The following is a 14,167-nucleotide window of genomic DNA, read 5'->3' on the forward strand; positions in this document are numbered from 1 at the left end:
CCTGCAGGGCGCAGTCCTGCCCTGGCGGGGGCCGGCCAAGAAGGGAAGGGCCTTGGGAGAGCAAAGTGGGGTTTGCCATTCGCCCTCTGTCCCAGGGCGCTGGGGCACTGGGTCCACCTCGGCGGGGGAGAGGGGCTCGCAGGGAGCCATCCACGGGCTTTCGGCGCCCTCCAGCGGCGTCTCCGGAGGAGGGAGAGACACCAAGACAGCGAGAGAGACAGAGCGCAGAGAGCGAGACGCGAGAGAGCGAGGGTCCAAGAAGGGGAGATAGGGAGACGCGGGCGGAGAGACCGACCCGAGGCGGGGGCGCGGGGCAGGGGCGGCGCGAGGACCTGACAGCGTGTCCCGCGGCGGGGCGGGGGCTCGGCCGCGCGCCCGCGGGGGAGGCCGCCGCTAGAGGGCACTTCAGGAGGGACAGCCCTCCCGGCACCCCGGGGCCCGAGCTCCAGCCCCGGCCTCGCGGCCCGCGGCCCGCGGCCCGGGCGGCCCGAGCCCCCTCCCCGGGCGCGCGGCTCTCCGCCTTCCCCGCCCCGGCTGGCGCGCGGCCCGGCCCGGCCGAGCACTGTCCCGGCCCCGAGGGGGGCAGAGCTCGGGCGAAAACCCGCCCTCCAGCGAGCTCATTTCCCTAAAAAGGGGGGGGGGAGTCGGAGGGAGGGAGGGAGGGAGAGAAAGAAAGAGAGAAAAAGAAGGAAAGGGAGAGGGAGACGGCTGGAGCCCGAGGACGAGCGCGGAGCCGCGGACCGAGCGGGGGGCGGGAGACAGGAAGGAGGGAGGCGAGCAGAGGGAAGGGGAAGAGGTCGGGGAGCGAGGGCGGGAGCGGTCGCGGTCGCGATCGAGCAAGCAAGCGGGCGAGAGGACGCCCTCCCCTGGCCTCCAGTGCGCCGCTTCCCTCGCCGCCGCCCCGCCAGCATGCCCGGCGTGGCCCGCCTGCCGCTGCTGCTCGGGCTGCTGCTGCTCCCGCGTCCCGGCCGGCCGCTGGACTTGGCCGACTACACCTATGACCTGGCGGAGGAGGACGACTCGGAGCCCCTCAACTACAAAGACCCCTGCAAGGCGGGTGAGCGCCCCCCGGCCCCCCGGCGACGGGCCAGGCGGGGAGGCGCGGGCGGGTTCGGGCTTGGGGTTGGGGGAGGACAGTCCAGTGTGGGAAGCCGGGAGCTGCCTGGTTGGCAATGCAGTGGGGAACAAAAGAACGAGGGGGAGAGGGAGGGGGATTTGGGGGACTTTTCGGACTGAAGTTTTGCCGCTGTTGGTGGAAGCTGCTGCCGCTGCCTCTCATCTTCCCAGAGGATTCCAGAGGAAGTCTCCTTGCGTCCCGGGAAAACCGGCGGGCAAGGCGGCTTTTCCTTCTGTAGGAAACTTTTCTGGCCAAACTCCTGTGCGTGCGTGTGTGTGTGTGTGTGTGTGTGTGTGTGTGTGTGTGTGTGTGTTCTTTCCCCTTCTCCCCCATCTCTCCTGCTCCAGGAGCTGGGTGTTTTCCAGCCTGTCTGGGCTGCCCTGGGGCTGCACATCTGTCTGGCTTGGATCTGGGAGGCCTGAGTCTCCAAGGAGCAGGTCCCCCAGCCACCACCCAGCCCAAGTGGAAGAAGAAAGTTTTTCCAGGGATTCCCTGAGATCGTGCTCTCTGGGTATCCCGTAGTTTAACCAGTAGCTGAAGCTTTCTGGGACTTAGGAGACAGCTGTCAAAGTCAGAGAAGCCAACCCAGAAGGGGGACTTAACTTTGTCCCTATGTGCCCAGAGACCCCCGCCAAGGCCAAGTTGGGGTGGAAAGAGGGAAAATACAAAGAGAACCCAGATATTGTATATCAGCTCTGTCACCCCCGAGACACCAGAGGCTAATTAGCTGAGGTCAGGACCCCGGAGTGTGTGTTTGCCTGTATGTGTGTGTGTTCTTTGTCTCTGAAGACTCTATGTAACCCCATCACTCCTGCTGAGCCCAGAAGGGTCCTGCCCCTGGAGTGACCAGATGGCCAGGCACTCGGGCCATTTGCCTGATTGGATGACCCTGGGCAGGCTGTTTGGGGACACACAGGGACAAGATATCAGAACTTTTCCTTGACTTCCTGCCTCTCTGACTTCAGCTCATCTCCAAATAGCCAGAGCCAGGGGAAGTGGCATAGTTGCTAGAACTGGACTGCCTGTGTGGGGCACCAGGGGCGGAGGGGCAGGTTGCTCTAGTCCTGGCTCTGGAGACCCTGTTCAGGGACTCTCCTGGGAGGGTGGCCCACAGGCAGGAATAAGAGACCATCCAATGGAGGAAATCAGGGCAAATCCCTCAGCCCTTACCCCTCTACACCTGCTGGGCTGCGGGTAAACCAGGACATTTGCTGTCATTTTTCTCGCTGGGGGCTGGGAGTGGGTACAGGGCAGAGTGGACTGCGCATGGACTTTGAAGGCAGGCACATCTAGCTTTCAATCCTGACCCTGCTACTCATTATAGCTGTACCACCTCAGAATGGTAATGATCATGTCTGAACTGCCACTTTCACACCTGTAAAATGGAACTGATCATGCATCTTCCCATAGAGTTGGTGGTAAGGGTTAAATATGAAAACATACATAAAACACTTAATAGTGCTTAACACACAGTCAGCGCTAAATAAATGTGGGCTCCCTACTCCCTGTTTTCTGTGCCTCAGACTGTCACTTCATTTTTTTGAGAGGTGTGGGATTGCTGGTGTCTCCTTGTGCCTCTTATCCATCAATCCATCAATACCTAATATGTGCTAGGGCCTGGAATGGATGTTGTGGGAGGTACTGAGACGTACAAGCTAGGACCCTGCCTTCAAGGAGCTTACAGTCCAGTAGGGACCCAAGACACCTACAGACATAACCAATAGCACAAACCAAGCCACACTGAGTGCCACATTGGAGGGTAGGATGCCAAAGACTCAGGGAGTTTCCTGCCCCTCTGCAGCCTGGTGGTGGCAGAGAAAAGTGATCACAGCAGGCTGAGAAGGTCTGGGGGGGTCTTCATGGAGGAGGTGGGGCTGGGGCCTGGCCTTAAAGAATGGGTGGGAAGCCATTCTGATGTCTTTCCCTTCTTGTTGGAAATGGGAGTGATTTTCAGAGCAGCAAGAGGCTGAGGGCTCTCCCCCCAGTCTCAGGTTTCATGCTAGGGTGGGGCTGGCTGAGTTGGAGCTTCAAGTAAGGGCTCTGGAGAAAGCACTCCAACTGGGTGAAGTGAGGCTGGTGGGGCGCTGGGCCAGGGCTGGGGGCGGCTGAGAGGGCCCCCGGGCCTGACAAGGCCAGGCCTTGGGTCAGATCAGGCCTCCCTCTCGGGTGTGACTGATGCTTGAGATCTGCTGCCCACCTCCAGAGGAAACTCACATGGGCATTCCTAAGTACTCACACCCACACCCCTGTGCCACTGCCTTCCAGCCACAGGTCCCTCAGCTCTGTTCTCCACGTTTCCTTCTCCTGCCTGGCTTTGCTTCCTGTATCCTCTGCAGCCCTGACCTCCAGATGCTGGAGGTGATGATGGCAGGCATGCTGTCTCTGCTTCTTTTCAAGGGCTGGAACTGAAAGCTCCTTTGACTCCCACAGCTTACCTGTGACCTTTCCAGTTGCTCTGAGGGTAGCCACGCCCCTTCGTTGGACCATTACTGGCCGAGTTATGGTTGCCGTTGTAGTGAGGGCAAAATTAATATCCTTGATACCCTGGAGAGGTTCCTGGACCTTCTGGGTGAGACCAGGACGTTGGGCAGGAAGGCAGGCTGGTCTGTTTGTGTGCTCAGAGCTGGTGCCACCAAGCCCTCACTAGCCCTTGCCCAGGAAGATTTTGAGGCAGGCCTGATTTCCTGTATGTCAGGAAATCAGCCAAACCATGAAGGGGGTCCTTCTGCAAGATTCCCAGCACTGTTTGGCTGCCCCAGGTGACTAGCCAACACCCCCCCGGAGAGACCTTGGAGGCAGGAATTGGGACACAGTTGATCCCAAAATCAGAGAAGCCCAGGGGCCTGACCCCACAGGGGTGGGGCTAGAAGCATGTCACACCCAGAGCTGGGTAGTGACCCTGTGCCAGTGAGGCCCCTGCTACCACCTCAACCTCATCTGACAGCCCAGAGTCTGCAGGAGCGGGAGGGGCAGCACTTACCAGCCCACATCCCCATCCCACCCAGGGGGACGCCTGGCCAAGGTTTGGACATCAGAGAGCCATAGAGGATTAGGGTACACCCTCTGAGGTCGAGAAGTAATCTCTCCTCTCACCAGACCACATTCCCCCTCTAGACAGCTGAGTCACCCCACCCACCCAGGCCCCTGCCCCTGAGTCACCTTCTTATTTCAGTGCCGCAAGGGGTGAGGAAAAAATTTGTACTCTCCCTGGGCCCTACATGGGGCAGGGCGGGGCAGTGGGGTTCCCCAGGAAGAAGGGATTCTTAAGAAGTCTAGGCAGGGGGCAGTGGCTCATGCCTGTAATCCACTTTGGGAGGCTAAAGTGGGAGGATCACTTGAAGCCAGGAGTTTAAGACTAGCCTGGGCAACACAGCAAGATGCCCATCTCTACAAAAAAATTTAAAAATTAGCTGGGCATGGTGTCATGCACCCGTAGTCCCAGCTACTTGGGAGGCTTAGCTGGGAGGAGTTGGAGCTCGAGAGTTCAAGGCTGAGTCCAGGAGCTGGAGGCTGTAGTGAGCTATGATTGTGCCGCTGCACTCTAGTCTGGGTGACAAAGCAAGACTCTGTGAAAAAAAAAAAAAAAAAAATCTAGTTTCTCCAGAGATCTGGGGAGAAGATATTGCGGTCGGGGGAGTAGAAGCGCTACTCCTCAGTCCACTAAGAACCTCCTAAGGAGATCCAAGGGAGTCAGCTAATCTCTCTCTCTCCCTCCCTCGCTCTCTTTGTCTCACACAAGTGCATCCCTGTCCATTTCTAAGTGCGCCCTTGTCCTTTGGGGAGTGTGGCCTGTGAAACATGGTGCATGCCTGCAGTTATGTGTGTGTTTGAAAACACAAGATCCTGCACGGGGAAGTGGTTGAGTGTGTGTTTGTGCATATGCGTGGGTGTGTCGCTGCCTTGTAGGCAAGCATGTTCACCTGTGATCGGTCTTCCTGAGTACATGCAGGCATGGAGGCAAACATGCACCTCTGCAGAAGTGTTCACATGTGATGAAGTCCATCCACATGTTTGCAGGGGTTTGAGTGTGTCATCCCCCAGCTAGAAGCTTGCGTTTGTGCAGTGGGACATGCATCAGTCCTGCACATATAGCCTTGGGGCTCATTACACCAGCCAGCCTCCTCTCCCCACTTCCCCAGAAGGGGAGGCCTTGCCATGCCCTGGGGGAGGAGACGGTGGAGTCCAGAGGTTGACCTGAAAGAGTGAGATTCTTCCCAGGCACAAGCACACAGATGGGCTCAGCCACAGTGCTCCTGGCAGGTTTACAGCTGGAAAACAACACAAAAAATTTTTATCTTGTGTTGAAAATAACTACTACCCTGACCGTGACCCCAGGGCTTCCTCTGAGTAAGGAGAGACCTCCTAGACTCCTTAGCATCCAGATTCCCTCGCTTCCCCAGAGGGCAGCCCAAAAGCACAGAGCCCCAAGGCCCAGCTCCTGCCCCTAAGGCTCTCCTGCCCATCTCCTCTCTCCCCACCCCCACTTGGTTCCCACGCATTCTTCAGCCATGACATCCTCACTCCAGGAGCTCAGCAGCCAGGGCCATGCCCTGCCCTGCCTTGCACTTGCTCTGCCCTGGTTCTACACTGGCCCTGGACCCGCAGGCCAGCACAGTTCTGTGGCCTCTGCACCAGGGTTTCACTCAAGGAGGAGTGGGGGCAGAGAGTGTGGGTGAGCCAGCGTTCCCTGAGGAGGTCTAGAGCTGACTTTGAGCTTACGGGTTGTGTTGGGATAATATTAAAGTGGCTGGTGGGTGCGTACCGTGTTGCATGCTCTGTGCTGGGGGTTCGTGTATATGTCTTATTTCATGCAGTAATCCTAGGAGACAGATTCTGTTATGTAGGAGAACACTGAGGCTTAGAAGAGTTTACATGACTTGTCAGCTAATAGTAGCCAACCTGGATTCCAAGACAGGTCTGTCTGACTCCAAAGACCTTGCCCTTTGCTCTATGTCCAAAGGTGAGTCTAAATGTCCAGCCACACCTGTATGCGGTGATGCCTGTGGGTTTGGGTGTGGGAGCCTGCAGGTACAATGCCTGTGAAAGGTATAATATGTGTGTACGGGCACAGTAGCTTATGCCTGTAATCCCAGCACTTTGGGAGGCCAAGGCAGGAGGATCACCTGTGGTCAGGAGTTCAAGAACAGCCTGATCAACAAGGTGAAACCTCGTCTCTACTAAAAAAAAAATACAAAAATTAGCTGGGCGAGGCTGAGACAGGAGAATTGCTTGAACCCAGGAGGCAGAGGTTGCAGTGAGCTGAGATTGCACCACTGCACTCCAGCCTGGGTGACAGAGTGAGACTCCATTTCAAAAAAAAAAAGAAAGAAAGGTATAACACAAGCCTAAGTGTGGAGGCATTCGTGTGGCAGATGCACATCTACGTGAACTTTGGTGAGTATGAACCCACTGCTTCTTCCTTGGAGTGTACCTCCCATCCCATGTCCTTGTTAAGGCCACTCTTGCATGTCACCTGGGAAGCATCTTCTGTTGCCGTCCCATCAGTTGCTGAGCCAAGGCCACCTGCCGAGGATGGCGATTCAAGTAAGAGTAGCTTTCTCATGGGTTGGAAGAGATTTGGGGTCACTTACTGGCTGGTGACCTTGAGTGAGTTATCGCCCTTCATAGGCTCAAGTGTTCTGATGTCTAAAGTCAGGGAGGTGGGCTGGAACCTAAACCTAGCCACTTAGGTTATCTCTCTCTGAGAGTTTCTAATGCTCTGCAAGAGCATGGTGTGGAGTGTGGCTTACTGGGCATGTTGTGGGCAGGCCAGGATTAAATTAATTAATGGGAAAGCACTTTGCCAATTGGAAAGCACCACAAAAATTTCAACATTTACATAAGGTGTCATTATCACGACTATTATTTGCTTAATGGGTCCAGAGCTTGCAGCTGGTTTGTGTATGTTGGAGCTTGTGCATGTGTGTTTTTTAAAAACCGTGTGTGACTGTGTGTGTATTTTGTTGTGGATGTGTCCGTCTGAGTATCTATTTTTGTATATATGTATTTACAGTAGGGGTTCTAGAGAGTGCAGTGGTTGCTGCACTGGGAATGGGGAGGCCTGAGTTATACGTCCAGTTTTCCAGTGACTAGCAGTGTAGGTTCAGTTAAGTTGTTGCTTTTGGGACCTCAGTTTCCTCATCTATAAAATGGAAGTTTGGCCTCGATGACTGCCACAGTCACTCCCACATTCTGTTGATCCTGTCTAGGTGAGGGTGTGTCTCTGGGCATGTATTTGCAAGCCAGAAGAATATCAGCGTGGCAATTCATTCATTCGAACATCCCGGAGTGCCTCCCGCCTGAAAGTGCAGTGCTGGCTGCTGCTTTCATGCGCAAGGATGTGTGTCCCTGGCTTTGATGGCTCTGCACTGGATGGCAAGGGTGTGGACGCCACCATATGTCTGTAGGAACACTAACCTTGGGTGTCTGATTCTGTATGTGATGAAGTCAGTGTGTGTGTGTGTTCACCAGTGAGGCCAACTGGGGAGGAGAAACCTGTGTAGAAGTCTTCAAGGTTAAAACAATTTGTGTAACGCGACCGCCAGGCCTGTATAGCACTCTGCCTGGATGAGAAGCAGATGTTGCTGTGGGTGGAGCTGCAGGGAAGCTGCTGTGGGTCCCACCTGTAGCCCAGCCTCCCACTTCCCCCAGCCCAGCCCAGCTCAGCATGCAGCTCCCATCTGAGCGCCTTACAAAGCGGCCAGTTCTATGGCCTCTGCTTCCTTTTCTCCAGACTTCTCAAAAGGAAGACAGACAGTTCAGCCGGGTCTCTGGAAACATCCCTCCTCAGCTCCAGATACTGGAATCGGAATGGCCCTTTAGGGAGGCTCTCTTCCCCTCTGGCCTTTCTGCTTGGGCAGCCTAAGACTTGGAATAGGAATTACTTGAGAACTGTTAAACTTTTTCCTCCTAGCTGGGAAGCTCCCAGAAGGTATCTTCGTTTCCCAAAGATGCTTATCTGTTCTAATGAAAAATGGTACAATTTTATTTCCTCTTTTTTTTTTTTTTTTTTTTTTTGAGACAGGGTCTCACTCTGTTGCCCAGGCTGGATTGCAGTGGCATCATCTCAGCTCACTGCAGCCTTGACCTCCTGGGTTCAATTGATCCACCTGCCTCAGCCTCCTGAGTGAGTAGCTGGAACTACAGGCATGCATCACCATGTCTGGCTAATTTTTGTATTTTTTATAGAGACGGGGTTTCACCATGTTGCCCAGGCTGATCTTGAACTCCTGAGCTTAAGTGATCCACCCACCTCGACCTCCCAAAGTGTTGGGATTACAGGTGTGAGCCACTGCACCTGGCTTATTTTATCTCATAGACACCCCCTTAGTTAAATTGAAACAGCATTTGCTGAGTGACCACCACATGCTCAGCACACCCTGTTTTATTTTCTTCATAGCTCCCATTGCTATCTGGAAGACCCTAGGTCAGTATTTATTTACTTGCATATTATGGAAGGTTAGCTCCACCGAAGCAGGGGCCTCTTCTGTCTTGCTAATAACTAGGGTATTGTCTGGACCACAGTAGTATGTTAACTAAGTATTTGCTGAAGAATGATGGCTCTGTGGCTCACACCTGTATTCCCAGCCACTGGAGAGGCTGAGGAGGCTGGAGGATCACTTGAAGCCAGGATTTTGAGACCAGCCTGGGCAACATAGCAAGACCCTGCTAATTTTAAATAATTAGCTGGGCACAGTGGTGAGACCCTATCTGCCCCACACTCCCCAAAGAATGATGAGCTAACAGACTGGTAGGGGCTGAGCATCAGCTTTACTGGGATTTTAACTGAAAAGTAAGCATGAGCTTCCCAAGAAATTCTATAAGCTGATCCCTAACTGCCCTTCTCCTTCTCGTTCAGATGGCATTTGAGGATCACAGTCGCTGTGGAGGTTGGGGGCTGGTGCCCACAGGGTTGGGGCTAGAAGCACGGTGCACCTAGGGCTGGGTAGGAGGATTAACTCAGCCCTGGCTTCTTCTTTTCTCTTTAGCTGCCTTTCTTGGGGACATTGCCCTGGACGAAGAGGACCTGAGGGCCTTCCAGGTACAGCAGGCTGTGGATCTCAGACGGCACACAGCTCGTAAGTCCTCCATCAAAGCTGCAGGTAAGCCGGGTGCCAATGGGCCCTCTGTGTCCTAGAAATGGGTTCCAGGCTTAGGGAAACAAGGAATCTCCCTGTTCCCAGCCAGGCCCTCCCAGGACAGAGGCCATGAGTTTGACCCCAGCACATGGGTCTATCTTCCCTCGGGATATCTTCATCCCTTCCCCAGAGGAGTAGTAAATATAGATATCCCCAGCAACTAAGAACTGACATTCTTTTTGTTTACAGTTTAAAAACCACTTTCAAAAGTATTGTCTAGCCTGACTGTCCCCAACCACCTTTAAAGGTGGTGTCAGGACAACTCCTGTTTTACAAGTACAGAAACTAAGATTCACAGAGGTAAAGTGACCTGCCCAGGATCACACAACTAGTGAGTGGCAGAGCTGGGACTGGAACTCAAGCTTTCTCACTCCAGACCTGAGACTCTGCCCAACACTGCAATCCCTCCTGGGCTCTCTGTTCCCACTTTGCAAATTTCTGTGCATCCTCTGAGGCCCATTTCAGGAGCTTCTCCTATTCTTCTTTCCCAGTTGCCCCCGAAACATGACTGTCCCTTCATTTTCCCTGTTTTCTCCCTCCTCTGTGATCACACTGTTACCCTGTCATTTATCACACCATATTGAAAGGATTTGCTCCTATGTCTCCCTAGCTCTTTAAGGTCAGGGATGCTTTCTTCTTATCCTTGATTGTGGTCCAAACTCCTAAAAACCCATGTGGTACTTGTGCATGGATACAGGAATGGGAGGGATGAGGGCCTGGGCTGTGTCTGTTCTTTCCAGTCCCTTACTGCTCTGTAGAAGGGTGAAAGCTCCTCACTGCCAGTGCTGATGTTTGAGACATGGTCCTGAGAGCACACAAATAGCCCTCCCCTTCCCAAAGGGCAGGGGCAGGGATTCTTTCTTCTTTTTTTCTGTCTTTTTTTTTTTTTTTTTTTTTTTGAGACAGGGTCTCAGTCTGTTACCTAGGCTAGAATGCAGTGGCACCATTTCGGCTCACTGCAACCTCTACCTCCTGAGTTCAAGCAATTCTCGTGCCTCAGCCTCCCAAGTAGCTGGGACCACAGGCATGCAACACCACGCCTGGCCAATTTTTTATATTTTTAGTAGACACGGGATGTCACGGTGTTGGCCAGGCTGGTCTCGAACTCCTGGCCTCAAGCGAACTATCCTCCCTGGCCTCCCAAAGTGCTGGAATTACAGGCGTGAGCCACTGTACCAAAGGGCAGGGATTCTTATTGAGGGTCTGCTCTGGGAACACTGTGGTGTGCCTGAAGTTGTCCTGTCCAGCTTGAGGGAAGATCCTGATGTGGGCACCTTATGGAATAAAGTACCCCAGAGGGCAGGTGGCATTGGAGGGTGACCTGGTGGCCTGCTAACAAGTAAGGCTCATGTGACCTTAGTGGGGACTAGTAGGTATGGCACAACGGAAAGCTGCATGGAGGGGTCCCCTGCTAACCCACCAGGTGACTTTGGCCAAACCTTTGGCCTTAGTTTCCTCATCTGTCAAATACAATACGACACTTGTCCACATGCCTTAGAGCTCCTATGTCAAATGCAAACATGAATTTGGGAAATCAAAAGAAGGCATAGAGTTCTGAATGCTCCACAAATGTCAAGGTTTATTCAATGAGAAGGGATATTTTCCTAATCTCAGATCCCCACAATTCCTAGAAAATGAGTACACCTTTGTTCTCTTTTACGATTATTGTCAATTCTTGCTATTTATGGAAGTTATAGAATAACTTTATAGTTACTCTGTACAGTCACTGAAAACATTAGCAAATACTGACCCATTGCTCCTAGGGAAAATACAGGGTCAGGTTCCTTCAAGCCTCTGGTCACAACATTTTTGTCAACTGATCAGTGCATCACCTTGTTTTATGAGTGTTTCTTTTTAAAGACACCTTACTTAATATGGAGCTGATTCATTAACATTGAACTCATGACCAACAGCACTCTAACTCATGCCTCGAAGAAGCTTACCTAGCACACGTATGTTCTCTGTGAGGCATATCACAGCCTTCTTGCCCTTGGGAACACCAGAGAGCACTTCAGCATTATGCTCAGGGGCTGTTTTAAACAGCGAAACCCTCAACAAAGCGCACAAAAACACAAAAAACAGGGCACTTTAACTAGACCTCAAAAAGGACACTTGGTTACACAATGAGAGCCGAAAGCAGAAAGCGGAGCGTTGCCTTATTCCACCTCAGCTGGGAACATGCATGTTGGGTGACTGAAATTTTTCACTGCTCTGCAAATGTCCACAAATGACCGTGAAAGCCCTGAGAGTATTGATTTTGGGGACTACGAATAAATTTTAGCCAGTAGACAAATTTGCAAGCACAGAATCCATGAAAAATGAGGTTTGACTATGCTTTTGCTTTCCTCCTCTTTCTCTCCACTCACTAGTCACCATGACTTCCTCTCTCAGTTCCAGGAAACACTTCTACCCCCAGCTGCCAGAGCACCAACGGGCAGCCTCAGAGGGGAGCCTGTGGGAGATGGAGAGGTAGATCCCGTAGCCGGCGGGCGGCGACGTCCCGACCAGAGCGTGTGTGGCCCGATGGGGTCATCCCCTTTGTCATTGGGGGAAACTTCACTGGTGAGCGTGCTATTGTGGGTCCCAGAGTGTAACCAGCTTCCGGGCCTGGCCTTGTGGCAGCCCTGCCAGGCACGGAGGCGTGGGTGCCACCTGCAGCCCGAGTGCCCACACATTCCTTTCCAGGCAGTCTGCCCTCAGAATGGCTGTGACTCTTCAGTGGTGGGTAGGGGGTGGGACTGCCTGGACACCGTGGCAACCTGGCTTCCTTCCTCCTGGCAGGTAGCCAGAGGGCAGTCTTCCGGCAGGCCATGAGGCACTGGGAGAAGCACACCTGTGTCACCTTCCTGGAGCGCACTGACGAGGACAGCTATATTGTGTTCACCTATCGACCTTGCGGGTGAGCAGGAAGCCCTAGGCGCTGTACCTTCCGCCATTGCCCCAACCCAGGTTCTGCCCTGGGCCCTGCCACTGCCCCCAGCTGGGCACAGCCTTGGGTCCCTTTATCCCCTCCTGCTATGGGGCATCTACCCAGGAACTGCCCCCTGTGCGGCTGTGACCTCCAGCACACAGCCTGGGCACTCGGTGCTCAGGGCCCACCCCTCCCCTTCGCTCCCCTGCCGCCCCGCCCCCGGCAGCCTGGCCCCGCCCCTGAGTGGATGCACTCCCCCAGCTCGGGACCGCCCCCCTGAGCTGGCCCCGCCCTCCAGGTGCTGCTCCTACGTGGGTCGCCGCGGCGGGGGCCCCCAGGCCATCTCCATCGGCAAGAACTGTGACAAGTTCGGCATTGTGGTCCACGAGCTGGGCCACGTCGTCGGCTTCTGGCACGAACACACTCGGCCAGACCGGGACCGCCACGTTTCCATCGTTCGTGAGAACATCCAGCCAGGTAGGTACCTGCCCCTCGGTGCGGCCTTGGTGGGCGGCTCCCGCCCCAGCCCCCACCTCCAGGACCCCTGGGGGCAGTGGCAGCCGCTCCAGCCAGCCGTCATCGCCTGGGCCCGCAGCGCTGCCCACAGCCTGGGTTGAGCCAGCCCCTGCCCTTGAGGCATTTCCTCCTCCGTGTCAGATCAAGGACCCGCATCCATTGTGGAGCTCCTCTGGGAGGCTGGGCCAGGTCCTGGTCCTGGACAGCGGTAGCCCGGGCAGCCTCTAGGGTGGGGCATGGGCATAGTGGGCCGTCCTGGGGACTGCTCAGGCCTTTCTCCCCACCTTTGCCCACTATCTGCCCTCTGCCTGGTCTGCCCTCCGAGGGCTTTTCTCTCATTTTCTCGATGTCTCTGTCCCTCCCTTCCCGCCTCCTCCCTCTCTCCCAGGCGTTCTCCACTCTTCACTGCTCCTTCTCAGCTGTGGCTCTAGAAATGGTGCTTCCTTCCCATGTTCCCTTGAGTCCTCCATTCACCAGGCCCTCTGCTGGACAGGACTCTTCCTGAGACCCTCCCCATTCCCCAGGCTCCCCTTGGCTGCTCCCCGGACCCTCAGGTAGGGGGACTCTCTCAGATACAGGAAGGACTCCATTCCCTGCCCTGGAAAGTGAGCGTTGCATCCCAGGCAGACCCACCCCCTCCTCTCCCCCCACACCCTTTTCCTGATCTTGGCAGGGCAGGAGTATAACTTCCTGAAGATGGAGCCTCAGGAGGTGGAGTCCCTGGGGGAGACCTATGACTTCGACAGCATCATGCATTACGCTCGGAACACATTCTCCAGGTGGGAGACGGGATTGGGGCTGGGCCTCTGCTCGGGCAGCCCCACCCTGCCCTCTGTAGGCTATTCTCCTCCTGCCTCCCACTTCTGGGGCAGTGACCCAGGAAAAGAGTGGCCCTCTGGGGGGCTGTGGCCTCCAAGCAGAGGGTCCGTGGATGTTGCCTGCCCTCCTGTCCTCTTCCACGGGTGGGTCTGTGGCAGGGCCTTACCACCGTGTGCACCCAGGGCACCTGGCGGAGGAGGCTGAACCCAGCCACTCTGCAAGCCCAGCAGTGTGGGGTAGCCCCAAACTATCAGCCCAAAGGGTGCTGAGCTTTTATTTGTGGGCCATTTGTTTGTTTTTGTTTTTGTTTGAGACAGGATCTTGCTCTGTCACCTAGGCTGGAGTGCAGTGGCACAGTCATGGCTCACTGCAGCCTCAAACTCCTAGGCTCAAGGAATCGTCCCGTCTCAGCCTACTGAGTAGCTAGGATGACAGGCACACGCCACCGTGCCTTTTTTTTTAGAGATGGGGTCTCACTATATTGCCCAGGCTGGTCTCGAACTCCTGGGCTGAAGGGATCCTCCCACCTCGGCCTCCCAAAACGCTGAGATTACAGGCGCGAGCCACCAATGCCCAGCCATTCCTTTTTAATTAGTCTGCTTTTTTTGTAATTGGCCAGTTTGCACGAAGCCTGACCCCTGCCCTGGACTAGCCCCCATGCCCAGC

At 54.8% G+C, this 14,167-nt stretch overlaps 1 protein-coding gene across 4 annotated transcripts in view, besides 2 other annotated features; it reads left to right on the forward strand.

The window, feature by feature from the left end:
• Nucleotides 132-1,171: a silencer, noted in NCBI's record as "silent region_18982". NCBI's record gives its function as "represses an Ori minimal core promoter by ATAC-STARR-seq in GM12878 lymphoblastoid cells {active_cell/tissue: GM12878}" and the evidence as "EXISTENCE:reporter gene assay evidence [ECO:0000049][PMID:35858748]".
• BMP1 (bone morphogenetic protein 1) overlaps nt 876-14,167 on the forward strand; it is a 46,955-nt gene continuing 33,663 nt past the window's right edge. For 2 of the 4 annotated variants that reach the window (NR_033403.2, NR_033404.2), the window contains exons 1-6: nt 876-1,057; nt 9,106-9,219; nt 11,647-11,817; nt 12,037-12,154; nt 12,428-12,643; nt 13,356-13,461. Coding sequence is in view for 2 of the 4 variants with exons in the window: in NM_006129.5 (NP_006120.1) it covers nt 910-1,057; nt 9,106-9,219; nt 11,647-11,817; nt 12,037-12,154; nt 12,465-12,643; nt 13,356-13,461 (836 nt within the window). In the remaining 2 variants the exon portion in view is untranslated. The remainder of the gene's footprint in view (nt 1,058-9,105; nt 9,220-11,646; nt 11,818-12,036; nt 12,155-12,427; nt 12,644-13,355; nt 13,462-14,167) is intronic. The other 2 variants (NM_006129.5, NM_001199.4) reach the window with 1 other exon arrangement.
• Nucleotides 9,114-9,613: an enhancer, noted in NCBI's record as "H3K27ac hESC enhancer chr8:22031123-22031622 (GRCh37/hg19 assembly coordinates)". NCBI's record gives its function as "activates a minimal SCP1, AML or CMV promoter by ChIP-STARR-seq in naive H9 embryonic stem cells {active_cell/tissue: H9 hESC(naive)}" and the evidence as "EXISTENCE:reporter gene assay evidence [ECO:0000049][PMID:30033119]".

Source organism: Homo sapiens, chromosome 8 (genome assembly GCF_000001405.40).
Source record: "Homo sapiens chromosome 8, GRCh38.p14 Primary Assembly".
Classification (NCBI taxonomy): domain Eukaryota; kingdom Metazoa; phylum Chordata; class Mammalia; order Primates; family Hominidae; genus Homo; species Homo sapiens.